Source organism: Homo sapiens, chromosome 4 (assembly GCF_000001405.40).
Source record: "Homo sapiens chromosome 4, GRCh38.p14 Primary Assembly".
NCBI classification, from domain to species: domain Eukaryota; kingdom Metazoa; phylum Chordata; class Mammalia; order Primates; family Hominidae; genus Homo; species Homo sapiens.
The window spans coordinates 183,881,261-183,907,885 of record NC_000004.12 but is presented as its reverse complement, the minus strand read 5'-3'; the positions used below and the strand labels follow the sequence as shown (position 1 = coordinate 183,907,885).

General features: G+C 44.4%; 1 protein-coding gene across 3 annotated transcripts in view, besides 2 other annotated features; it reads right to left on the bottom strand.

Annotated features, from left to right (window-relative positions):
- The window catches only part of STOX2 (storkhead box 2), a 225,509-nt gene that overhangs the window by 115,645 nt on the left and 83,239 nt on the right, over nucleotides 1-26,625 (bottom strand). The window contains exon 1 of one of the 3 annotated variants that reach the window (NM_020225.3): nucleotides 930-2,579. The exons of the other annotated variants lie outside the window; for them this stretch is intronic. Within the exon in view, the coding sequence (NP_064610.1) occupies nucleotides 930-1,095 (166 nt within the window). The 5' untranslated portion in view covers nucleotides 1,096-2,579. Of the gene's footprint in view, nucleotides 1-929; nucleotides 2,580-26,625 lie in introns of those variants that run through there. 3 annotated transcript variants of the gene reach the window in all.
- Nucleotides 1,619-2,326: an enhancer, noted in NCBI's record as "OCT4-NANOG-H3K27ac hESC enhancer chr4:184826713-184827420 (GRCh37/hg19 assembly coordinates)". NCBI's record gives its function as "activates a minimal SCP1, AML or CMV promoter by ChIP-STARR-seq in naive and primed H9 embryonic stem cells {active_cell/tissue: H9 hESC(naive and primed)}" and the evidence as "EXISTENCE:reporter gene assay evidence [ECO:0000049][PMID:30033119]".
- Nucleotides 2,327-3,036: an enhancer, noted in NCBI's record as "OCT4-NANOG-H3K27ac hESC enhancer chr4:184826003-184826712 (GRCh37/hg19 assembly coordinates)". NCBI's record gives its function as "activates a minimal SCP1, AML or CMV promoter by ChIP-STARR-seq in naive H9 embryonic stem cells {active_cell/tissue: H9 hESC(naive)}" and the evidence as "EXISTENCE:reporter gene assay evidence [ECO:0000049][PMID:30033119]".

Here is a 26,625-nt window from a genome sequence, read left to right as displayed (position 1 = left end):
TGAATGAAAAATAAATAAGAACCGATGCCTTACACATCATTACATCCAAGTGGTTAAGGAGAAGTAAGGAGAAGGCAACGGAAGGTTTCCAGGCTTTTCCTCCTTCAGCATTTCCCTCAAGAATTTCATCCCTGGGTTCCCAAATCAAACCAAAGCCATTCCGTTGTATTTCCAAAAAAAGAACTGGCTCCTTCAGGAAGGCTTTTCACAGCACTGCATTTTAAGCGGAAATCTTTTTTGAAGCCTTCCCTTTCCATTTACCGTTTTGTTTGTCCCTCCTGTCTGACATGCAAACACATGATACAGCCTCCATTCTTTCCATACAGCCTAATTCAAAGCAACATATGTTAAATCCACACAGAATCATGTGAGCATTCAATCCGCATCCACACCATTACCCCCACAGAACGCGTTCAGTAAGCTCCAACACAGTTCTCTGCGTGCAAATCAGACCAGCCTGGGATGTCTGCAGGACTCTCCCCTGACTCAGCCCATCCAGAGCTGCGCATGGAACCTGTTCCTTTTGGAGAACAGGGGGCTGCTGGAAATACCCACTCAGATAACCGGCCACAATGCAGCAGCCAGCAAGCCTGGCACTGCAGGCAACCCTGGGCGCAGGATCCTCCACAAAGCTCGAGGAGGCTGCAGCGCCGGGGCTTGCAGTCATTTATCTCCCTGCAGCCAAAACGCCCGGCTCGTCCCCCCTCCCTCGTTTTACCTAACTAATAGCTCTCCAACCCCATATTGAGAGGGCCTGCTGTGGATCTTGGGAGGTACAAAATGGTGGATGGGAGCTAATTTTTTCCTGCTTTCCCCATAACTTATCGCATCCATCACTGCCCGTCCTCTCCTCCAAGCACCCGGGCCGCGGCGTACCGAGCACGTCCCGCGGCCCCGGCCCGGGGGCAGAAACGCGGTCACCAACCAACCTGATGTCATGTAGCCCCGCGAAGCCTGGGGCGCGAAGGCCGCGGGGAAACGCTTGTGCAGGCGGTAGTCCTTCTCGCTGCGGGACCTCATGCGGTCCGAGGCCCGGTCCGAGAAATCCGAGCTAGGCCAGGCTCGCCGCAAGGTTGTGCTCCGGGTCTTCTTCATGGTGGGGAGGGCGACCTGCCGCCCCGATCCTCGGGGCCTCAGCGCCGGGGCGCAGCGCGCTCCTTCATCCGTCTACGGCGGGCACGACCCGGGCGGACTCTGCGCACATTTTCCCAGCCCCTCCTCGTCGGCGTCTACACCGCCAGCGGCGGGTCCGGCCCTCCCCACGCCCCCCCACACCCCCACGGCGAAGGCTCCGATTTTACACACGTCCCACAATGCATTACACTTCATTTGCAATCCGCCCGGCTTATAGCTTCCAGATTCCTGGGGGGAAAGGCACGTTAGGAGGCTCCCCGGCCGGGAGGAGGCGGGGAGGGGGCGGGCGGGGTGGGGGCGCCGAGACTTGCAGCGTGAAGGCAATGGGAGCGCAGACAATGGCCCGATTCAGCGCAGGAGTGCTTGGCCAACTGGGAGCCACGGCACAAAAGACCCAAACAAATGAGGCAGCCGAGGCCTCCGGGGCTGACCCGGGATCGGGCGTGCGGGAGGCCGGAGGGGCGGCGGCAGACCCTCCGCGCCGGGCAGCTCAGCGCGAGGCGTGGGGATGACAGTGTCCGAGTCGTGTCCCCGCGGGCCTATCAGCCGCACGGCCCGCAGTCCCCGGCGCTGGCTGGCTCTGCCTCCGCTGCAGTCCCCGGGAGACAGTCTTCATCACAGAGGCTCGAGCGGGGGGCGCGTGTGCACAGGATCCGAGCAGGCTCTGCAGACAGCAGCTGCGGCGGGCGGGCTCCTGCGGAATCCAGGAAGAGCCCGCGTCGTCCCCGCGACTGCAGCGCCTCGTCAATCTTCCCCTTGCCGAGGCTCCGGGCGCTGTGCGTGCGCGCGGGTGGATGGCTGGGTGGGTGCGCCGACACGCATGTGCCCCCTACACATGCATGCTCCTACTTACTGGCCGAGGCGGCGCCGGAGCCATGGCTGCCAAGGACGCCGAGCCTGCGATCGACCCCCGCGCGGCGGCAGCGCTGCTCCGGCGCGAGCGCGCGGAACGGCTATTGAAGGGCAGGAAGCAGGACAGCCGCCCAGTCTCATGCTAATCACCAGGCTGCCTTAAGTTAGAACGCGGTTCCCATCAGGCTTCTCATTTTCATGTAAAACACCCGGCGGCGGCGCGGGGACCTTGGCAGCTGCCCCAGCCTGGAGCCAGCGCTTGGATATTTACATATTTTTAGGATGGTCCCTCCCGCTCGGAGAGAGACAGCGAGCCAGCCTTCGTGGGAACGGGGAGATCTGCGGTGCGCTGCCTGGCCCACCTGCGCCAACCCCAAAGGAAGCTAAAGCCAGAGGGAGGGGAGGCCACGGCGAGCTCCCCCACAACCGCACACGCCGGGGCGCCGGGTCCACGCAGCCTGGAAGACGCAATGCAAGTGGCCTGCAGCGCTTCCTCTCTCCCTCTGGAGTCCCGGTGTAAGTCACCGCCAGCCCGCTACGCTGCATTCAGGTCCACAGCTCTTTAGATGGCACGGCTCTGCACAGCTGTTTCTGGTCCAACAACCAATCGCTAAAGGACAACAATGCGCGCGGCGCGCGAGGGGAGGAGGGGCCAATGCGCCGCCCGGGCCTGGGCGCTGGGCCCGGGACGCGGGCCTGGGACCCGGAGGTCACGCCGAGTTAAAGGCGCCCAGCCACGTTGCTGCTAACCCCGACCACGCTTTGCACTGCCGTTCATTCAAAAACGGTTATCTCCTCGATTTGGGTTTTCAAAAATGCTTTGGTACAGTAAACAACGACAAAAATAAGCCCGATTTCCTTTTTCAGCGCTGCATTTGACATGTTGGTGCATTTTTTCATCTGTGACAATGCAACGTTCAAAATCATATTTATGCTGTTGTTTCATATTCACAGGTGCCAAGATGCAGAGACAGGGATATTAAATCTTTATAGGGATATGCTTCTAACAGGCTGATATCGCAAAAACAAGCCAGTGGATTCTAGCTGGTTAGGATTCAGGAAGTTCTAACACAATCTGTGCTATTCCAAGGCTTGAATTATTTGAGGGGGGTAGCAACTATCTTGAAGAACCAGGCAGAGCAGGATGGCGTTAAGCCACAGGCATTATAAAATCTAGAATTAGAGCTCTCCTCATTCAGATCTCAAGACCGCCCTCTATAACCTGTGGCCACTGTACTACCTCTTGGGATACCCAGGGTAAATAAATAAATAATCACTAAGTAGCCTATGGAATTTATATTTACATAATCAAAATGTATTACTGTCAACCAATTCACTAATGTTCTGTGGTTTTTATTTTTAATTGGGAAAGGCACTTCTAGTTCAATGTCTTCTTTCCTGTAAGAGAACTGCTAAGAACAGAAAGATTACAGCTTTAGAAGTTATAGAAGGCACTTTTAGTTCAATGTCTTCTTTCCTGTAAGAGAACTGCTAAGAACAGAAAGATTACAGCTTTAGAAGTTATAGAAAGCTAGCTGTATAAAGCAGGGATCCCCAATTCCCAGGCCATGGACTGCTTGGATATTTACCTACCCCACAGATATTTACGGACCCCGTGCAGCTTCTAGTCCTCGGCCCATTAGCAACCAGGCAGCACAGCAGGAGGTGGGTGGTGAAGCTTCATCTGTATTTACAACAGCTCTCCATTGCTTACTGGCATTACCTCCTGAGTTCAGCCTCCTGTCAGATCAGTGGCTGCATTAGATTCTCACAGGAGCACGAACCCTATTGTGAACCATGCTTGGAGGGATCTGGGTTGCGTGCTCCTTATGAGAATCTAATGCCTGATGATCTATCACTGTCTCCCATCACCTCCAGATGGGACTCTCTAGTTGCAGGAAAACAAGCTCAGGGCTCCCACTGATTCCACATTATGGTGAGTGTATATTTATTTCATTATATATTACAATGTAATAATAAAAGAAATAAAGTGCACAGTAAATGTAATGCACTCAAATCATCCCAAAACCTTCTGCTCTCCAACCCTACCCCCACCCCAGTCCAAGGAACAACTGTCTTCCACGAAACTGGTCCCCAGTGTGAAAAAGGTTGGGGGCCGCTGGTGTAAAGGACCATAAGGTAATAACAAGTTGTATTAATGAATGTAGGAGAACTGACATTTAGATATCTCAATTCAACAATTACTCAGTACCTCCCAAGAGCCAAAGGTGGTTATATGAATGATTATAATAGCTATGACTTAAAGCTAATGGTGACTGCTGTGGCAACTGTGATAGTCATTCATTCAGCAAACAATGGCTGACTGTCTAGAATACGCAAGCCCTGGGATGGGTGCTGGGCAAACAGAACACCACACATGACCCTGCAGCAAACCGTCTAGTATGGAAGAGAAACAGTAGGCAAATAAATGCAGAAATTGTGCTAAGTTCTATGAAGAACAATAATCTCTCTAAGAAATGACAGTTGAGCTGAGACCTACAGCATGAGGAGCCACTCAAGCAAAGAGTGGGGGAGATGGTGTTACAGAAAGGGGGAACAGTCTGTGCAAAGGCCCTGGGGTAGAAGGGATCTTGACTTTCTGTTGGAGGAAGTGGAAAAAGGCCACTGTGGCTGAAATTGGAGCACAGTAAGAGGGAGGTTTGTGATGAGGTCATGGAAGGATGCAGAGCCAGATCATGCCGGAACTTGCAGGCCATGGTAAAGGTTTTATATTCTATTCCAAGTGCAGTGTGAGCCGTTGAAGAGTTTGGATCAAAGAAGCAATGATATTTTTAGAATTTCTTTACAGAAGAAGAGGGAATCTGTTCGAAGGGAGAGATTGACTAAGAATTTTCTGGAAGTAAGTTTGAATCGCACTTGATTAAACTGAGAAAATATTAATTGTTCATATGAAAGACGGGAGGTGAGTTGATGGACATTTGGGGAGAAGAGCTATAGCTCCACTCAGCCACCTCCAAATGCAGACCTTGCAGAGGGGTGACATGATCCAGTGTTCGTGGCCAACTAGCCTGATGTAGAATAATCAGGTGGTACATAGGCTGAGTTAGCTGAATCGGATCAGATGGCAAAGTAGGTATGGGTGGTGTAGTAATTTATCCATCCAAACTGGGGACAATGCTGAATAGTGCTATGAAGGGAAGGCTTAAATCTAGCAAACAGCGTATTGTGAAACCAGTCCAATCTGAAGAAAAATGGAGTTCCCTGTTACTATAGCCACTATTAAAATCAGACTCAGTCTGTCCATCTGTGTTATGATGGAAAGAGTCACTCTGGTCATATACAACCCCTATGTCCCTGGGCCCAGTTTCAGATCTCTAAACCTACCTCAGACAATCATGTACCTGGGTCATGAGTTGTCCATCAAGCAAGCTCGGTTTTGTAAGCCAGTATTCAATATTAGGAAAGTTAGAATTAAATGAATGATAAAGCAAATCGATTTTATAGCATTAGTATTATTTAATCGGGCTTTTAAAATGTGTATATTTGGTATTTTCATATCAGACAGATTAGAGACACTAATTACACAGATTTGCTTTGTGACTCTAATTCAAATGTATAATTGATTTTAGACTTGTAATCTTAAATTGAAAGGTATACAAATTTTGACTTGAAATCCTCTTCATTTAAAACTTTAGTTTATCAGCTTTGCTACAGTTGAATGAATTTAGAGTTAGAAGAATGTAAACTCCATAAGGATGAGGGATATTTTCTGTCTTATTCATTGTTGCTCATTGTTCTGTTTTGTTCAGAGCTATATCCCCAATGGCTAGCAATGGTTGGCACATATTTGATGACTACTAAAGGCCCAATAGAGTACTGGGGAAAATTTGGGTTGAAGCCTTCCTCGTCAGATATATTAACTACTTTTTAAAAATCAAGTGTACCAAGTATATGACATCAAAGACACAAGCCACAAAAGAAAAAACAGAAAAACTGACTTCATGAAATTTTTAAAATGTGTGCATCAGAAGACACTGTCAACAGAGAAAAGACAATCCACAGAATGGGAGAAAATATTTATAAAGCATATATCTGATAAGGGATTGATATCCAGAGTATGCAGAGAACTCCTAAATCTCAACAACAAAAAAACAAACAACTAGATTCAAAAATGGACAAAGGACTTGAATAGAGATTTCTGCGAAGAACATATCCAAATGGCCAGTAAGCACATGAAAAGATACTCAGTATCAGTAATCATTAGAGAAATGCAAATCAAAACTACAATGAGATACCAACTCACACCCATTAGGACGGCTACTATCAAAAAAAAAAAAAAAATACCCAAAAACCAGAAAATAACAAACATTGGCAATTATGTGGAGAAACTGGAACCTTTGTGCACTGTTGGTAGGCAAGCAAAATGGTACAGCTACTGTGGAAAACAGTATGGCAACTCCTCAAAAACTTAAAAATAGAGTTACCATATGATCCAGCAATTCCACTTCTAGATATACCCGAAAAGAAGTGAAAGCAGGGACTCGAAGAGATATCTGGACCACCCCCATGTTCATAGCAACATTATTCACAATAGTTAAAACATGGGCGCAACCCAAGTACCCATTGAGGGATGAGTGGATAAGCAAAATGCAATATATACATATAATGGAATCTATTCAGCATTCTAAAGAGAGGAAATCTTGTCCAATGCTACAACAGGGATGAACCTTGAAAACAGAATGCTAAGTGAAAGAAGTCAGTCACAGAAAGAAAAATAATGCATAATTCCACTTATACAAAGTACTTAGAATAGTCAAAATCATAATGACACAAAGGAGAATGGTGGTGGCCAGGGGCTGGAGGAAAGGTGAAAGGAGGGGTTGTTGTTTGAGTTGTTGTTTAATTGGTAGAGAGTTTCCATTTTACAAAAGGAAAAGAATTACGGAGATAGATGGTCGTAATGGATGCATAATGTTATATATGTATTTAACTTAACTGGACTATATACACTTAAAAATGATTAAGATGGTAAATTTTACGTTATGTGTATTTTACCTCAATAAAAATAGTAATAAATTTTAAAAATTAAATAAATGAAATTTATAGATGCACTTTAAATGTTTAAGGGAATGTATTTAAAGATGTTTCTAAGTAGGGCTAATTGTTAAGTAAAAGGGATTTAGTCTTCCATTCAAGTTGATCAAATGATTTTCAAAGACCCCAAGAGTTATGGTTTTTATTTTTTACTTAAAAATACAAAATTTACAAATAGAATAAATTGAATGTAAAACCTTAAGGAAATTTTGATTTTTCAATTTGCATCTCTAGTAAAGGAAAACTTGCAGTTTGAATTTTTGAACTTGTATCTCTAGTATACGGAACATTCATTAAAGACCTAAGCATCTGAACACAATCTTTCCTGTGGGTTGGAATAAACTTCTTCCAAACTCCTGTTAATGTTGATATTCTGACCTCCTCCCATGGATCACAAATTTTCCTAATGGCATCTAGAATGGTGAATCCTTTCCAGAAAGTTTCCAATTTATTCTGCTCAGATCCATCAGAGGAATCATGATCTATGGCAGCTACAGCCTCATGAAACGTATTTCTTAAATAATGAGACTTGAAAATCAAAATTACTCCTTAATCCATGGGCTACTGCAAAAGGACGTTGTGTTATCAGGCATGAAAACAGCATTAATCTCCCTGTACATCCCCATCAGAGCTCTTCAGTGATCACTGTCACTGAAGTATATTGTCAATAAGCAATAATACTTTGAAAGAAATCTTTTTTTCTGAGCAGCAGGTCTCAACAGTGGGCTTAAAATATTCAGTAAACCATGTTGTAACCAGATGTGATGTCATCCAGGCTTTGTTGTTCCATTTATAGAGCATAAGCAGAGTAGATTTAGCATTATTCTTAAAGGTCTTAAGTTTTTTGGTATAGTAAATGAGCATCGGCTTCAACTTAAAGTCACCAGCTCCATTAGCCCCTAGTAAGAGAGTTAGCCTGTCCTTTGAAGGTGGTACCATTGAAGGCAGACATTGACATCTCCTCTCTACCTATGAAAGTCCTAGATGGCATCTCTTTCCAAAATAAGACTGTTCTGTCTACATTGAAAATACATTGTTTAGTATAGTCACCTTCATCAATGATCTGAGCTAGATCTTTGAGATAACTTACTGCAGTTTCTCCATCAGCACTTCCTTCTTCACCTTGCACTTTTATGTTATGGAGACAGCTCCTTTTCCTAAGCCTCATGAACCAACCTCTGCTAGCTTCAAACTTTCCTTCGCAGCTTCTTCATTTTTCTCAGCCTTCAGAGAATTGAAGCTAGTTAGGGCCTTGCTCTGGATTAGGCTTTGGCTAATCCAGGAAATGTTGTAACTGGCTTGGTCTTCTGTCCAGACCACTCAAATTTTCTCCATACCAGCATTAAGTCTGTTTTGCTTTCTTATCATTCGTGTGTTCATTGGGGTAGCACTTCTAATTTCCTTCAACAACTTTTCGTGGCATTCATAACTTGGCTGACTTTGGCACAAGAGACCTATCTTTTAGCCCATCTCAGCTTTGGACATGCCTTCCTCGCAAAGCCTAATCATTTCCAGCTTTTGATTTCAAGTAAGAGACATGTGACTCTTCTTTCACTTGAACATGCAGAGGCCATTGCAGGGTTATTAATTGGCCTAGTTTCAATACTGTTGAGCCAGAGCAGAGGGAGAGAGAGAGGGGAATGGCCAGTCATTGGAACAGTCAGATCGCACACAACACTTACGGATCAAGTTTGCCATCTTATATGGGCACACTTCGTGGAGCCCCAAAACAATTACAATAATAACATCAAAGATCAATGATTACAGATGACCATAACACATATAACAAAAATGAACAAGTTTGAAATATTGAGAGAACTGCCACAATGTGACACAGAGACGTAACGTGAGGACATGCTGTTGGAAAAATGGCGCCCATAGACTTACTCACCACAGCGTTGACAGAAAACTTCGGTTTGTAAAAAATGCAATATCTGCAAAGTGGAACAAAGCAAAGAGCAGTGAAACAAGGTGTACCCATAAACACATTTTTCTTCTTGCTAATGTAGCTAACGATCTCGCCACTGCCAAATCCACTCAGGACGTTGAATTTGGTTTCATCCTTATTTGGTTTCATGCTTGCCACTGTTGCCCACTCTCTCCCCTTAAAACTCTTCCCTCCCTGTCATTTTCATTGTCACTCTCTACAGGCTCTCCTCCTTATCCATGGTACCTCTGCCCATTCAGTACTGGGTGTTCTCTGGATTCCACCCAATCGCCCTTCTTGGCATTCAGAATTTCATCAGCTCAGTTCCTTCCACAACATTCACTGCTTTATTTCAGCGCTTGCAAGTGAATGATTTCCAAATAACTCTCACCAACCCAGGCCTCTCTCCTGGATCTCCAAATTCTTACTTCCTACTGTCAACTGAATATCTTTTCTGAATGCTCCATGGACAATCAAACTCAAGCTGCTCATTCCACAAAATGTATCATCTTTATGCCCAGTCTCCCAACCTCTGGGGTCTTAGCGTACATTTCCAGTCATGGCAAATGGGAGTCCCACTGTCCAGTCTCCCAGGGCAAGAACCTGGGAGTCATTCTCAATCACCTCCTCTCACTGCTCTCCCTGCTTCAGCCCACACACACATCGCTACACACAGTCCACCGCCATACTGTGTTTCTACAGCCTTCCTATCTCCTGAAGGCCCGAGTCAAGGCACTGGAGAAGGAGAGGGAGGGCGGAAGCAGAAAATCGGTGTCACCTGCCAAAGATACAGAAAATGTGACATTAAAAAATCCAATGAAATAAGACTATGCTACAAATTTAAATATTAAAAATTAAAATAAGATAGATGATAAAATATATGTAATCCTATGCCTAATATATTTGTTAAAATGCTTACTTCAAAATAAGCTTTTCAATTAAAAAAAGGAACGTGATAATCAGCAATTTGTTTCAATATTAAATAGTTTAAGGCAAAAATCAGACTGCATAATAATATGATTGTATGTTTCACTTTTTATGTTAACCAGCGTGGAGAAGCCCCAATGTGAATGCAGTTGGAAATCATGAAAAATATTTAAAGATCTTTTCTGATAAGGCTGGACACTGACAATGAGCCAGCTGACTTCTGTTCAATAAACCGTATTACTTGAAATGAACCTCAGGATCTGTTTTTATTCTGCATATGCTGTGTATTTACTAATGCATCTGAAGTGTATTACTGCCATCTTCTTTGGGAAAATATCTATGAGGCTCTTTTATCAAGCTCTCAAGCCTCTCCTCAAAATGGCTAAAATATTTTCAGCAAAATCCAAAGAGTTCAGAATAAAGTTGCTCATTTCACTAAAAGAAACTAGCTCACCATGACCTCAGTGTCCAGCTCCTCAGCCCCGATTTGCAGTCCCCTTTTTAAAGCTATCTCATACTGAAACCCTGTCTTTGACAATTAGCATGTACAACAGCTACATCTGCTCATCTGAAGAACCTAAGGTTATACCCACAAGACTTCAAGTAAGCAAAGCTAGCACCAAAATACAGTCATCTACAAAGCCAGAAGCACCCAGGCATGCTCTCACAGAGAACAGGCTTCCTCTAGAAAGACCTAATGTTTCTCTGAAACCCAAATAGACAAATAACGGGCTTTCTCCCATGAAAACCAAGAAGCTTCGGAATGAAACAATAGTTGATTTGAGTCACCAAACCTCTACAGGTTGAGGAAAAGAGTAGGAATTTAGTTGCCTGATTGACATGACTGACAATGTTAACAGTTCATGAAGTGAGTCTTTAGATTTTCCCTGTGCATCTCAGGCTTGCCCCAGGGAAACCGCAGTGGGTAACGCTTGCTTCCACTGCCAAGCTTCAACAGGCAGAGCAAGTTCTCTACTGGACCACCCAAGACTCACCACAATGTCTTTGTGAACTGCTTCATGCAGCTCATATTTAACTAACCCCCAAATGACAATATTGGTGGGTTCCTTGGATTATAGTGACTAGTACTAACATCGCTGTATTCAAAAAAGGTCAGCAAAAATATAACTCTGGACATTTATAAAGTAAAATGCATACCTTATCTTTATGTTGAACACCTCCTTAAAGTATTTTGTCACAATTAATCAGTGGATTTTTTGTGAAGTAGAAAAACTTTTCAAGGTTACTCCCAAACTCGTTACAAAATCGTGAAGATCAGATGAGCTGTAAATCCACTTAATGAGCACAGGTAAACTGCAGTAGGAAGAAATATACTAAAAGGAAAAGACGGGACTGGGTGATGGCTCATGCCTGTAATCCCAGCACTTTAGGAGGCCAAGGTGGGAGGATCACTTGAGCCCAGAAGTTTGAGAACAGCCTGGGCAACATAACAAGATCCCGTCTCTATGAAAAATTAAAAAATTATCCGGGTATGGTGGGGTGCACCTGTAGTCTCAGCTACTTGGGAGTCTGCGCAGGAGCACTGCTTGAGTCTGGGAGATGGAGGCTGCAGTGAGCTATGATTGTGCCACTATGCTCCAATCTCAGCAACAGAGTAAGATCTTGTTTCTATAAAAAGATAAACAAGGAAAAGACGACACGGAGCCACGGAGAATGGCCTGCGCCTGATGATACTCCCACACATCCTTCTGTAACTCACTGCCACCAGACACATTTCACCCAGCGCTGGTCCTGGTATCAGCTGTTAAGACTTCATTTATTTGGTACTTTCTACCTAAAAGATCACTATAAATACCCAAGTTCTCGCATTTTCTCCTGCTGACTCATTGAATCATCAAGGGCCCTTGTCACAATGTGCACCACACACCAAAATATGCCCAGTGGTCAGCAAGGTCATTTCTCATTGCAGGCCTTAGGAGCCGCCCTGTTGCTGTAAGCTGGCTAGCACCTCCTTGGCCTTCTGGAAACTCTCATGTATCCTGCTTGCAGGATTCAAACCCAGGTCAGTTCTCTGAAAGACTTTCCATCTTCTCCTTATCTTTGCCCTCAAATATCCCTGCAGATTTAGAGGCCCTTGTCCTGTTTATATAACAACAGTGCCCTTCCTATTACCCTGCTGACCTCATTGTATTAATAATGCAACACAACACCCTACAAAAATGTCTGTCTGCTTCCCTGGCGGTGTACGACTGAAGAGTAATGGCTGCTTTGTTCATCCAACAAATGTTTATTGAGCACTTGCTATGTGCTAATAATGGTTCTAGGTACTGGGGTACCAAAATTCAAAAATAAAACAATAAAATAGCAACAAAAACAAAATCTTCTGTCATTAAGGAATCTGCCTCCTAAGGGCAGGAGACAACAGTACACATATCAATTAGTGAACTGTGTCGAATATAAAATAGTGATGAATGGAAGAAAATAAGGCAGAAGACGAAGATTGAGACTGAGCGTTAGCAATGTAAAATGGGGTGGCCAGGGGAGATTTCACTTTATAATCATTTTATGCCTAGTGCCTTTCAAAAAATAGGCCCTCAATAAAGTGTGCCACAATGTGCTCATTTTAGGCCCTCTTCAGTGCTATGGTTCCCAGCAGAGGGGCATCAAATGGCCGTGGACTTCAGATCATAAAGGAACAAATATTGTATCTACTTCATGTCCCTCATATCCATTTATAGATAAGAATTCTATCTAAGGAAAAACAAATAATGCCTTATGTTCATATAGGACTTGACAATTTATTGAGCCTTATGCATAAGGCAGGCAAGGCAGGGGTTGCTATCATAAGAAAGGATGAAAAACTAAGGCTCAGAGACAGTCCACGATTTGCCCACAGAGCTTGAGGAACCAGCATTCCATTCTTGACATCCTAGTCCGCGATTGTACTCTCCTGCCTCACTCCATTGCCTCCGTAATGCCTGGTGCGAGCAGTTACTGGATTTAGTGTTTTCTTATTGTTGTTTGTGTCATCCAAACAAAGTCCATATAAATCTTTGCATTGCTAGAATAGCCCCCAATTTTTAGGATGTCTTATTAGTTTTTATGAATATACACGAATGCAAAATAGAGTACAAATGTATTCAGATGACTCAAATGACTTCCCCGCAGCTCGTTTATACAGATGGTGCAAGAGACCGAGAGAGTTAAATCCACAAACCTCCTTCACACTAATCAGTCTTGAAAGTTTTCTTTTCTCAATTCTGTTTGCAGGTCACCACAGAGCTGCTTCCCAAGCCAATGAAAAACCACACTATAACACAGATGGAGTTTAAAGGATGGATCCTTTTTCCAACATGTGGCTTCCTGTAATTTAAGGGAATGTTATACAGGAACAATTAAAATCATATATCAAAAAGGGAAGCAAAGCTCAAATAGTTTCCTGCTTTATCAAATTTCAATAACTGTTAAAAAAAAAAAGGTCCCATATATTTAAATCCCAGACACTATTAAGAATAACTTTTTAACTCCAGCAAATTACAGGACTTTTATGTGATATCATTTAATAATTACTAATAACATTTCTAATGCTAATATAGAATAAAAATACAGAGATGCTATTATTTAATAATTTCTGCTGAGTTCATCTGAAACATTTTTTAAAATTTTGTTTCAATATTTAGCAGTTTAAGTAGCTAGGCTTATGGGTAATAATCTTAAATCTTTCTATTATTTTTCATACCATATGTTAAAGGTGCTGTTTCAAGCACAGAGGATTAGCTATAATATAACTGTAGTTCGCAGTAGCTTCCATTAGAGTTACCATGTCAGTTATTATTCAATTAGGATATTTTTAATATTTTTAATTTTTTTTATTTTTTGGAGACAGAATCTCACTGTGTTGCCCAGGCTGCAGTGCAGTGGCATGATCACCGCTCACTGCAGCATTGACCTCTGGGCTCAAGTGATCCTCGTGCCTCAGCCTCCTAAGTAGCTGGGAATACAGGTGCACGCCAGCGTGCCTGGCTAATTTTTGTATTTTTAGCAGAGGTGGGGTTTCACCATGTTGCCCGAGCTGGTCTCAAATTCCTGGGCTCAAGGGATCCACCTGACTTGGCCTCCCAGAGCCAACTAGGATGTTTTTTAAAGTAAGAAGGATGCTACTAATTACACTAGAACAAAATGCTTAGACTAGTACCCTCCTGGACAAATGGGGACACAAGGTCACTCTACTTTTCAGGGAAAGGAGGCTAGTTTTTTGTTTTTTTTTAAGTTACAGTTTTGCTTTATAAGAGGAACAAATAAATCTAAGTGGGGAGACAGGAAAAATCACCTGCAGGATCAGACAGTTTTATATGTAAAATAATAGTGTATTTTATATGTGAAATATACACTTTTATATGTAAAATAATAGTGTATTTTATATGTAAAATAATAGTGTAAAATAAGAGTATCTCCATCCGCTCTTCTCTCACCCCGACTAGAAGGGTGAAGACTCAAGATCTGTTGCAAATGTTTCCAGTAACAAAAACATGAAGTCCAGCATCACTTGCATCACCCAGACTTTTCCTCCCACAGGTCTCTGAAGAGACCACCGGCTTCGTCCAGTCCACCAAGCTAAGATGCTGGCCGCAAAGGGAAGGGGCAAGTGCCAGCACTTCATGTGGAGCATGTTTCAGACCATAGACGAGGCTGTTAGGTCGGCTAACAGTCCACACTGGTCCCAGCCTACTGCAGGGTTTCCACGTGATCACTTCTGTACCGCCAGGGAACTGCCGCTTACCTGGGGCTGTGGCGTCTCAGTAGATACGAGCGGAAAATATCCTAGAAATGGGATAAGGCCTGAGCAGAATTAGAAACCGTGAGAAAGAACCAGAAGGCAATAAATTAAAGACAGTGAGGGAGAGGGGAAAAAAAAAAAAAGAAAGTTGGACCCAGAGATACGGTGGGACACATTTTGTTCCAAAATCTCAGAGACTGGTTTCCGAAGGATATCTGATGTGGCTTTCTGGCCCTAGATACTCTGTGCTTACACATCACCATGTCCCTGGAGACAAGCCTCCTACAGACTTTTCCAGAGCCATGATACATTTTTAAAGCTAAATTACTTAAGTTTTAGGTGTAAGGGAATCCATCCATGTTTGGTTGGACAAAGCAAGGTCTTCATGGAGTCACAACCTACATGCTAACTGTTACCTACTAATTGGTAGGTAACAGTTGCTCGTGTGATATCCTAAACTCAGACTCTGGAACAAGTGAAAAAAAACTGCCTCGGAGGAGAGGTTAAGTATATCTTAAGTATGTATCGATTATGAGAAGAGTGTCCAGTTTGCTTTTCCATGTCACTGCAGACTGTTGTCCCACACCGCCACAACCTCGGCAACTACGATACGCAGTTCAACAGAAAGTGCTTTGATGCCCTTGTCAGCGTGCATGCAAGAAGAGTGTGAATGGGCCGGGCGCGGTGGCTCACGCCTGTAATCCCAGCACTTTGGGAAGCCGAGGCGGGCGGATGACAAGGTCAGGAGATCGAGACCATCCTGGCTAATACGGTGAAACCCCGTCTCTACTAAAAATACAAAAAAAATTAGCCGGGCGTGGTGGCGGGCGCCCATAGTCCCAGCTACTCGGGAGGCTGAGGCAGGAGAATGGCGTGAACCCGGGAGGCGGAGCTTGCAGTGAGCCGAGATCGCGCCACTGCACTCCAGCCTGGGCGACAGAGCGAGACTCCGTCTCAAAAAAATTACACCTATGGAAGCAGGGCAAGGCTCCATACGGTGTTGTGTGCAGCCTCAGGGTTTCCCGAGGTGGCTCACAGGCGCAGCATAGGAGACGAGGGGAGGGCGGCCCGGAGCCATCTCGGAGGGACACAGTTCTCTTGACCACCTTTTCAGAATTTTGCTAAGACAAGGATTTGCTAAGACAAAACAAGGGTTTTACTAAAACAGTATAGCTCAGGGGTTAAACATGAACGCTCTGGAATATCCCGGACAGTGTGTGAATCCCAGCACCTCTACTCCCATTGTGGAGACCGCCGGCCTGTCCTATTGACGCTCTTCTCAGTTCTTCCTCCGGAACATGGGGAAAACAAAAGCAACCATCTCTTCAAAGACCTGAGACTAGTGCCTGGCGATTCATTAATGCTCAGTAAATATTAGCTATTTCTAAACTAATACACTATACCTGGTTCAGGGCTGAGCACACAGACAAATTCCTTTTTTTTAAATTTTCATTTTATTTATTGATTTTTTTAAAAATGATGAATACTTCTGTTCTTCCATAGGGTTTTCAGGAACAGGTGGTGTGTGGCGACATAAGTAAGTTTTTTAGTGGTGATTTGTGAGATTTTGGTGCATCTGTCACCTGAGCAGTATACACTGACCCCAATTTTTGGCCTTTTATCCCTCACCCCCTCCCACCCTTTCCTCCCAAGTCCCCAAAGTCCAGTGTATCATTCTTATACCTTTACATCCTCCTGGCTTAGCTCCTATTTATAAGCAAGAACATACAACATTTGGTTTTCCATTCCTGAGTTACTTCACTTAGAATAATAGTCTCCAATCTTAACCAGGTTGCTGCAAATGCCATTAATTCATTCCTTTTTATGGATGAGTAGTATTCCATCATATATATATATATATATATATATATATATATATATATATATATATATAAATTCCATCATATATATATTCCATCATAGATATATATATTCCATCATAGATATATATATATATTCCATCATATACACACATACACACACACACCAGTTTCTTTATCCACTCATTAATTAATGGGCATTTGGGCTGGTTCCATATTTTTGCAATTGCAAACTGTGAGCACACAGACAAATTCTGACAGGTGGTTAACCCCTAGACAGCTCAAAAAGTTGTGCCACATTGGATTATTATTTTTTATTGTCAGAGACAGGGTCTTGCTCTGTTGCCCAGGCTGGGGTGCAGTGGTGGGCTCATGGCTCACTGCAGCCTTGACTACCTGGGCTCAAGCAATCTTCCCACCTCAGGCTCCCAAGTAGCTAGGACTACAGGTGTGCACCACCATGCCCACCTATTTTTTAAAATTTTTTTGTAGAGATGGGGTCTCCCTGTGTTACCCAGGCTGATCTCAAACTCCTGGCCTTCAGCGATCCTCCCGCCTCAGCCTCCCAAAATGCTGGGATTACAGGCATGAGCCACCGCAACCAGCCTTATTGAATAACAAGCTCTCTCTTTTTCTCTAATTCCATCTCTGCTTCTCTTCCTACTCTTTCAATGATTACCCTTCCGAGCATTCTTAACTTTTGTAAAATCTAAAATTGATCACTATCTCCACCATTCTCCCAAATACAAAGACCTTAGACTGATTCAACTCTGTGCACAGACATTGGCTCACAGGTTTGAGTTGCTCAGTATTTTATTTGCTTGCCTCCTTTCTGCCCTCCATCATCCCTCCCTCCCTTCTTTCCTTCCTCCCTCCATTCCTCCCTCTCTCCTTCCTTCCCTCCTTTTCCTGTCCCTCTTTCTTCTGTTGCTGTTTTTTTTTTTTTTTTTGAGACGGAGTCTCACTCTGTTGCCCAGGCTGGAGTGCAGTGACGCAACCTTGGCTCACTGCAGCCTCCACCTCCCGGGTTCAAGCAATTCTCCCGCCTCGGCCTCCAGGGTAGCTGGGACTACAGGTGCAAGCTGCCACACCCAGCTAATTTTTGTATTTTTAGTAGAGACGGGATTTCACCATGTTGGCCAGGATGGTCCCGATCTCCTGACCCCGTGATCTGCCCACCTCGGCCTTTCAAAGGGCTGGGATTACAGGCGCCCGGCCCTGTTGCTGTTTTAAATAGTCAAACCTTGTTGAGTTTACCTGAGTTTACCGGTTTCCTTGTTCAGTATGAGCTGGCCAGTTCCCTCGGGTCTGAGTTGCTAGCTTAATGGTATGCGCAGGTGTATGGAGCTAGACCTGTATTTTAAATGAGACTGAAGAGCCAAGAAATACTATGTAATATTTCAGCTGGAAATTAATTTTTTTCAAACCTAGAAGCTTCTCAGGCTGTATAGTCTGCCATATTGTGGGAAATAGAAGCAAGTAGCTCGCTTTTTCTTGTATGGCCTCTAAACAGCAGTAATCCCTTAACAATCAATTATGAAATCCATCTTTTCATCAAAAGAAGAAAAAACAGAAAGTATTACCACAGAGAAAACAAAGGTTTCCAGCCATCCTTGAATATTCTCTCTCTCTCTCCACATATATATGGAAAGGAGGCAGGTGTAGAAAGAGGGGAGGTGGCCTGGTATGCCTGGCCTCAGACTCAGGCCTGCCGTGCCCCAGCAGACCCCATTCAAGTCCCCGGCCAGGCCCTTTCAGGGCTGGGCCCTCTGACTCGAAGTTGCTGCAGAAGAAGGGAAGGCCTCCTTCACGGAGGCTCAGGTCCATCAAACTTTGCTAACTTCATGCTTTTGTTTTGACTGTCTGTTTGTTGAAGGTGATTGTACAGGTTTGCAAGGGCTGCTGTAACGAAACACCACACACTGGCAGCTTACACAGCGGAAACTGTCTCACAGTTCTGGGGACCAGAAGTCTGTGATCAAGGTTAAGAGCAGGGCTGTTTCCTCTGGGGGTGCTGCAGGAAGAGCCTGCCCCATGCCCTGCCCCTGGCCTCTGGGGCACGCTGGTGACCTCTGGCATTCCTTGGTTCCTGCATTACCGTCCCTGTCTGTGCATTCTCCCTGTGTGCCTGTGTCCCAGTTTCCCCTTTTTATAAGGACACCAGTCATGCTGGATGAGGGCCCACCCTACTCCAGTACAACCTCCTCTTAACTAATGATATCGCCAACTACCCTATTTCCAAATAAGGTCCTATTTGGAGCTATAGGTGGTTAGGACTTCAACATATGAATCTGTGAGGGATGCAGTTCAACCCCGATCAGTGTCGTTGAGGACGATCCTTTAACTCCCTTGGACTGATAAACCAAAGCCAAATTCATTAAGGAAAAAAAATAAACCAAGCAAAAGACGGTCCAATAACGCATCGAGAACATCTTTGGCAGTTCATCAAAGCAAACCTTCCCTTTTGGGTAACTGTGTTTTCCTGACAGAGGAAGAAGCCAACTTGTTTTCTGTGCTCCAAAGAAAGGCAGCATTTGCCCCCTTCCCCAGCACAGAGCCAAATCAGCCCCAGGAACAAGCAGTAAGTCAGCATAATTGCGGGTTTGAGCACCATCCAAAAGAATGAAGTGGAGGAAAGGCGTGGGGAAAAGGTAGCACTTGAGATGTTTAATGCTCATTAACAGGAGCAAGAGTCTGTCTCATTCCTGTGCAGACTCTGCAAACCTCTGGCTTCTGCTTTGCCAAGCCCCAGGGCCCAGAAATAAGCAAGTCAGAATAAGAAGTAACCACGGGATTGGCAAGGAGCAGGCAAGAGAATTAATCCAGGTCCCAATTAGGCGGTGCTGCCTCAGTACCAGCCTCGAGCCCTCACTTGCAAAGGCCTCCTCCTCCAGCTCCTTCAAGGTCGGGAGGAAACAGGACATGGGCTCATGGTACCTGGGACCCAAGTGGCATGCCAGAGAGGTACAGAGTACAGAATGCAGAGCCAGCCTGCCTAGGTAAAGTGCGCTAGCCACTGACTAGCTGTGTGAGCATCCCTGGGCCTCAGTTTCCCCGGCTGTAAAACGGGGAAAATAATAGAATTCTCAAGGCTGCTGTGAAGCTTGAATAAGTGAATCCATGTGAACTGCTTAGAACAATGCCTGGTAGAGAGCATTATAAATGTTAGCTACTATTAGTAATGCTTAGGGGAAGGGTCTAAGGAGGGGTTCTTGCTCAGAGCTTTGAATCTTCATCCATTGAAACATGAAGCTGTCTCAGGGGAATGAAAGACAATTGAAGGTCTCCAACACCATATTTTCCTCCCGGTAGGGTAGAAAGATACACATGGCCCTAAGATATTTGCCTAGCATTCTACAGTATTAAAAAAGAGCACCAGGGCCAGGCGCAGTGGCTCACACCTGTAATCCCAACACTTTGGGAGGCCAAGGCAGGAGGATCACTTGAAGCTAAGAGCTCGAGACCAACCTAGGCAATAAAGTTGATACCCTGTCTCTACCAAAAACAAACAAACAAACAAAATTAGCCGGGCATGGTGGTATACACTTATAGTCCCAGCTACTCAGGAGGCTGAAGCATAAGGATAGCTTGAGCCTACGAGCTCAAGGCTACAGTGAGGTATGATTGCACCACTGCACTCCAACCTGGGCAACAAAGCAAGACTGTCTCAAAATAAAACAAAATAATAAATTTTTTAACAGCATCAGCTTTGGAGCATGGATGTAAGTCCTGGATCTTGCACTTATTAGAGGTATAACCTTGAGCGAAGTCCAAAATCTCTGCTAAGGCTTTATTCCCTCCAAGGCAAAATGGGAAACAGAGCTCTCTCCTAATGTTGTGTGAAGAGTAAATAAGAGCGTGCATGCAGGGCGCTCAGCAGGGAGTCTGCTAATGATGTGTAAGTGTCCTTCATTAGTAGGGATATGTCTGATCCTAAAGGGGAAAGGCCTCCAGTAGCTCACACAGTACCTTTTGGACAGTTAGAGGGAATAAAGAGTTTCCTTTCTAAGGAAACATTAATCCATCTCTCCAAATACTATAATCTCTCCAAATACTAAATCACTAAATTTATAACGGCCTAAATTGATGGTGTCTCTGACAAATGGTTGTCCTCTTAGCTATGACGTCCCTGTACAGGGAAGAAGTACATAACTTTTTTTTTTTCTTTCAGGCGGAGTCTCATTCTTGTTGCCCAGGCTGGAGTGCAATGGCACAGTCTTGGCTCACTGCAACCTCCATCTCCCGGGTTCAAGCGATTCTCCTGCCTCAGCCTCCCGAGTAGCTGGGACTACAGGCATGCACCACTACGCCAGACTAATTTTTTTTTTGCATTTTTAGGAGAGACAGGGTTTCACCATTTTGGCCAGGTTGGTCTTGAACTCCTGACCTCAGGTAAACCTCCTGCTTCAGCCTCCCAAAGTTCTGGGATTACAGGCATGAGCCACCGTGCCCAGCCAGAAGTACATAACTTTATGCAGTAGCACTGAGTTGATCCACCATGAAAAAGAATCTCAAGATGGATAGGAACATAGCCTTCAAGAATCTGGCATTATTCTTCGTGTGTAGAAGGTATTGAATGCACATCTGTGGGAGGGAGGATGAGAAAAAAGATGGCAGAGTGGGGTTGTTTTTAAGGACTGCTTGCTCTGTGTTCAACTAATGAGACGTCTGTGCTTGGGGAATGGCTGTTCAAAAAGAAAAGTGGTATTGCAGAGAAAGATGCTTAGAAGAAAAAGACCTGGTCTTTTTCTTACCACACTACTTACCCCACTACTACTTGCATCTTACTCCAGGACTACTTGCTTAATTCCAGTCTGGCTGCCTTTCATTCTGCACCTGGACGGTGCTGGAACAGAGTGCCAGGAGCTGCAGACACATGGTTATTGCTCAAACACTAGCTTTTTTCCCCTTTCTCTTGTGTCCCTAAGTGTCCTCAATGGACTCACAGACATGCAGGCAGAATTTCTTCTCAGTCTGTATTACTGAAAAATCCAGGTAGTCCCCTGCTTAGAAACATTCGATTGTCAAATCATCTCTTAGGTACAAGGCCTGTCTCCAAGGAGGCCTTTCCTCATTCCCCCCCCTTTCTGTTGTGCAATCCTAGTGACCCTGATCTTGCATCTGCCTACACCATCCAGCAACCATCTGAACCTTCACCCTCCTGATCTTGCATCTGCCTACACCATCCAGCAACCATCTGAACCTTCACCTTCCTGATCTTGCATCTGCCTACACCATCCAGCAACCATCGGAACCTTCACCCTCCTGATCTTGCATCTGCCTATACCATCCAACAACCATCTGAACCTTCACCCTCCTGATTTTGCATCTGCCTACACCATCCAGCAACCATCGGAACCTTCACCCTCCTGATCTTGCATCTGCCTACACCATCCAGCAACCATCTGAACCTTCGCCCTCTGGAGGACCCTTCTCAGAGCCCTCGTGTCCACCCTGTTATGTGGGCCTCCATCTCTGCAGACTCATAAGCTGGGGCCAGGAAAGGGTTCCCTCCCTCGGCCAACAGTTTCAGGTAATGGGGCAATGAGATGCGTGTTGACACTGGAACTCTTATTTTTCCACGCAAACATTGTTATAAAGGGGACTAAGGTCCTTCACGGGTTTTGGGAATTTGGCTATTGGTCAATTATCATCAATGAACTTTTAAAAACAAAATTTAAAGAGGAGGTCCTGCAAAGCCCACAGTAAGAGCATTAAACACCAGTGTATATAAGGAGCAGGACCTTGGATGAATGGACTATCGGTGAAGGGAGATACAGAAACTCCACTCATCCATCAGGCTAGACATCCACTTTGTTTAGCTTCCAGAAGCTGAGGCATTTCCTCTTTCTTCCTCAGCACCATTAACAAAGCAAATGCGAGGCAGCCGGCACCCTGCACAGCCTCCACAGATGGAGGGGCCTCATTTGTCTCGCTGCACAGAACCAGAATCATCATCACTCAAATACAGCAAGGAGGCCACAGGCAGGAGGCAGTGACCACGAAATGCAGGCCTTTGGACATCTGAGTGTTCAGCCCTACAAAACAGCTGTTCCCGCTCTCGGACTGATCAGCTACATAAGTCCTCTGTCTCTCTGTTGCTCTCTCTATATTTTTTCTGAAACACTTGTCCTTCTTGGACCAGCCAAAGCCAATGGCAAAGAAAGGGTAAAACAAATACACACCAACAACAAACAGTATGAAAGGTGAAGAAAAAAAGGAGCTTCTCCAAATTCTGAAAGGTGGGTGGGGGGCGGTGGGCGACTATACTCTGATGGGGGAGTAGGAGGAAACATTTTAAGCAAGTCACAAGGTGCGTCTGTGGCCCCAATTACCAGAAGACACGGGTTTTTATTATGCCCTGGAAGTCAGTCTGACCTAGATACAGCAAGCCTTAAACTAGTTTCAGCTCACATGTCTCTGCGCTGTTAGGTCTGGGATGTGTGGCGACGGGGACGCGACGCCCAGGCACACAGCTGTACTTGGCTGGTTTGTTTTCTTCTTTTCTCCCAGTTGGCTCATTCACCAAGGTTTACTTTCATGACCGCTGCTCTCAGGAAAATCCTGCTTCTGGATTCTCACTCCCGGGATCCCACTCTCCCTAACGTTTCTCTAAGGCAGACAATCTGGTTTCAGCCAACTTGACAAACTTGTAGCTTTCTCATCACAACAGACAAGTGATGAGGACATTTCGGTTTTGTACCCTATATTCTGCAGCACAAAATGTCACGCCAGCCTAAACGTATGAATGGGATGGGATATTCATTCAACACCTGCTCGCGGCTTCTGTCACTAAAGAAACGTAAAAGCAGAAGTCAAAGAAATGAGAAACGCCTTCACAAAAGGATCCCACAAAAGGATAAACCTGTCTCCTCTAAAATCCTTCCCTGGAATATAGTTTGTAGTGAATAGGACATGTATCTAACCATAAATTATTTTATTTGTTCTTCCTTTTAAAACAGAGACAGGGTCTCACCATGTTGCCCAAGCTGGTCACGAACTCCTGAGCTCAAGCGATCCATCCGCCTCAGCCTCCCAAACCAATAAAATATTTTCTATCTCATGCTACTAAACCGGACCCTAGGAGCTCAAGGTATTCACATCTGCTCACACTAAAAAAAAAAAAAAATTAGAGACAACCAACAAAGATGACCCAGTCTTTCTCCTTTTCTGTGGTGACAAGTTTTTTAATATACTGATACTCAAATGACTTCAAGGGATATAAAAAGAACAGCTGCAGTGCCTTAGAAAAGCATCATGTTAAAATTTACTAGTTTTGGGCCAGGCGCAGTGGCTCGCGCCTGTAATCCCAGCACTTTGGGAGGCCGAGGGGGGCGGATCACCTAAGGTCAGAAGTTCAAAACCAGCCTGGCCAACATGGTGAAACCACATCTCTACTAAAAATACAAAAAATTAGCCGGGCGTGGTGGCGGGCGCCTGTAGTCCCAGCTACTCAGGATGCTGAGGGAGGGAGAATCACTTGAACCCAGGAGGCGGAGGTTGCAGTGAGATGAGATCGCACCACTGCACTCTAGCCTGGGCGATGGAGCAAGACTCGATCTCAAAAAAAAATAAAATAAAATTTACTAGTTTTGGTGGAAAAGAGAAAACACTCCAAAATTAAGCGACTATCTAGCAAATTCTTCATTAATTGTAAAGTCGTGTCACATTTCATCAGTGATACTGAAGAAGACCTTTACAGCACCTCTCCTCATTCCATTCACCTAAAACACCCATCATTCTTAACAGTTTGTTTCCTCTTCGAAAGGGAAAACACATTTGAAAATAAAATGACTATATAATATTTATAACAGGTCGGCCAGGCGCGGTGGCTCACACCTGTAATCCCAGCACTTTGGGAGGCCGAGACGGGTGGATCACAAGGTCAGGAGATCGAGACCATCCTGGCTAACACGGTGAAACCATCCCTACTAAAAAACAAAAAATTAGCTGGGCGTGGTGGCAGGTGCCTGTAGTCCCAGCTACTCGGGAGGCCGTGGCAGGAGAATGGCATGAACCTGGGAGGCGGAGCTTGCAGTGAGCCGAGATCGCGCCACTGCACTCCAGCCTGGGCGACAGAGCGAGACTCTGTCTCAAAAAAAAAAAAAAATTTATAACATGTCAAACAGAACAACTATGGGGTATTTAATAACATTATGGAATTACTTCTAATTTGCTTAGGTTAGTAATAGTATTGTAGCTATTTTTCAAGGGTCTTTATCTTTTAGAGCTACATGCTGAAATATTTATGGATGAATTAATATGATGTCTAGATTTGCTTCAAAATAATTGGGGGGAGGAGGGAGTAGATGGGGATATAAATGAAACATGATGACATTGCTGAAGCCGGATATTGGGTTTGTTTTTCTATTCTCTCTACTTTTGTGTATTTTAGAAATTGTACGTGATAAAAAGAAAAAAAAAGCAACAGTTATATAAAATGGTCTAAATTTTAAATCTCCAACAATAACATTTAGCATTTCTTGGAAATGTTTCCACTGAGAATCTGGACAGAGGTAAAGAATATCATTAAATCCTGTTCAGAAGTAAGCTACCAAAAACACTGGTGCAAGAGGTGGGAAATTGCAGTTCTAGCCCCGGCTTTGCCACTGTCTAGCTTTGTGACCTTAAGCCTGTCTCTTAGCCTCTGTGGGCTTCATTACTTCATTTATATAAAACCAGTGCATCAGACCAGAAGGATTCTAAGGTCTCTTCCAGCTATAAGATTCAATGAAATATGAAGCCCGCTTAAAAGGAAGCAGCAAAAGTGTAACCCAGGCATAGTAAATCCTAACAGCTGCTACAACTCTACAGTGCATTTGGTCAACTACAAAAACTAAGCATTCAATCTAAATGTTGGGAGAAAGATATTAATCTGACATTGACCAAAAGCTTGGCTTTGTTCCACTTAATGCAGCTAAAGGTATACTCAAAATTGGGATAGAATGAAGTGATAGAAGTTAATTGAATTAGGTTTCACTGAACTCTTGCAATATCCCGGGATTAACCGACCCACTGGGAAATGAGAAGGAGTTTTACGTCTGGGAAATGCCCTGTTTTTTCTTTTATAATTGCTTTAAAAAGTGGGAACCTAGCACTCAGGAACCCATAAAGATCAATGTGTATTCAGAGTAAAGGGCCAATTAACAGAAAATTCCACACACAGAAAAACAGGGAAGGGTCTAACTGGGATCAAGGGAATGGCATTTTATCTCAGGGATTCAGTTTCCCAAATTCCATTTTGGGAGTCATTGTAAAAAGAGAACAGGCTGGAATCTGTTTTCGGACAAACATTTTCACTGTGATTTTCCAGAACAGTGAGCTGGGTATCAGTGTACAGTAGACCTGAAGTCCTAGTATCTGTCACTTACTCATACTTCTCACATAGCCCTGCTGGCCACAGCGCATATGTCCGAGTGGTGCCTTGGCTGGGGTCCTCATTACATGTAATTAATTCAGTTCTAGGTCAGCTCAAGTTCAAACCAGTCGAAATACGTTACTTTTAAAGTTGTTGGTTCAAATTAAGTTCCACTTCTAGAATGGAGAATACCCAAAGATGTCTCGATCTATGATAATTCTGTTCACTATCCGTCAGCTTTCCAAAGCTACGCAGATGATGGCACGCATGCCACACAGAGAATGAAATCAGATGAAAAGTCTATTTCGTGCTACGAAATTGGCTTGAGTGAGGATGAGAGCAATACAATTAAACATAGAAAAATTACTCTTTCCATGTATTTCTGCCTAAATATCATCTTAAACAGAGATTTCAATATTTTTATCAGGTTTTTCTATGCCCCGCTGTGTAATAATTCATGTTGAATTCTAGTTCTCAGAAGAAATTCCATTTAGTTATTTAACAAATATATAAGAGCTTAAAATGTGAGGCAGTGATGTCCTTTCCATTCACTGACCAAGCCTTTTCTTTTTTTCAGAAGGAGTTTTGCATTGTCGCCAGGCTGAAGTGCAGTGGTGCAATCTCAGCTCACTGCAACCTCCGCCTCCCAGGTTCAAGTGATTCTCCTGCCTCAGCCTCCAGAGTAGCTGGGGCTACAGGCGCACCACCACACCTAACTAATTTTTTTTGTATTTTTAGTAGTGACGGGGTTTCACCATGTTGGCCAGGATGGTCTCGAACTCCTGACCTCGGGATCCGCCCACCTCAGCCTCCC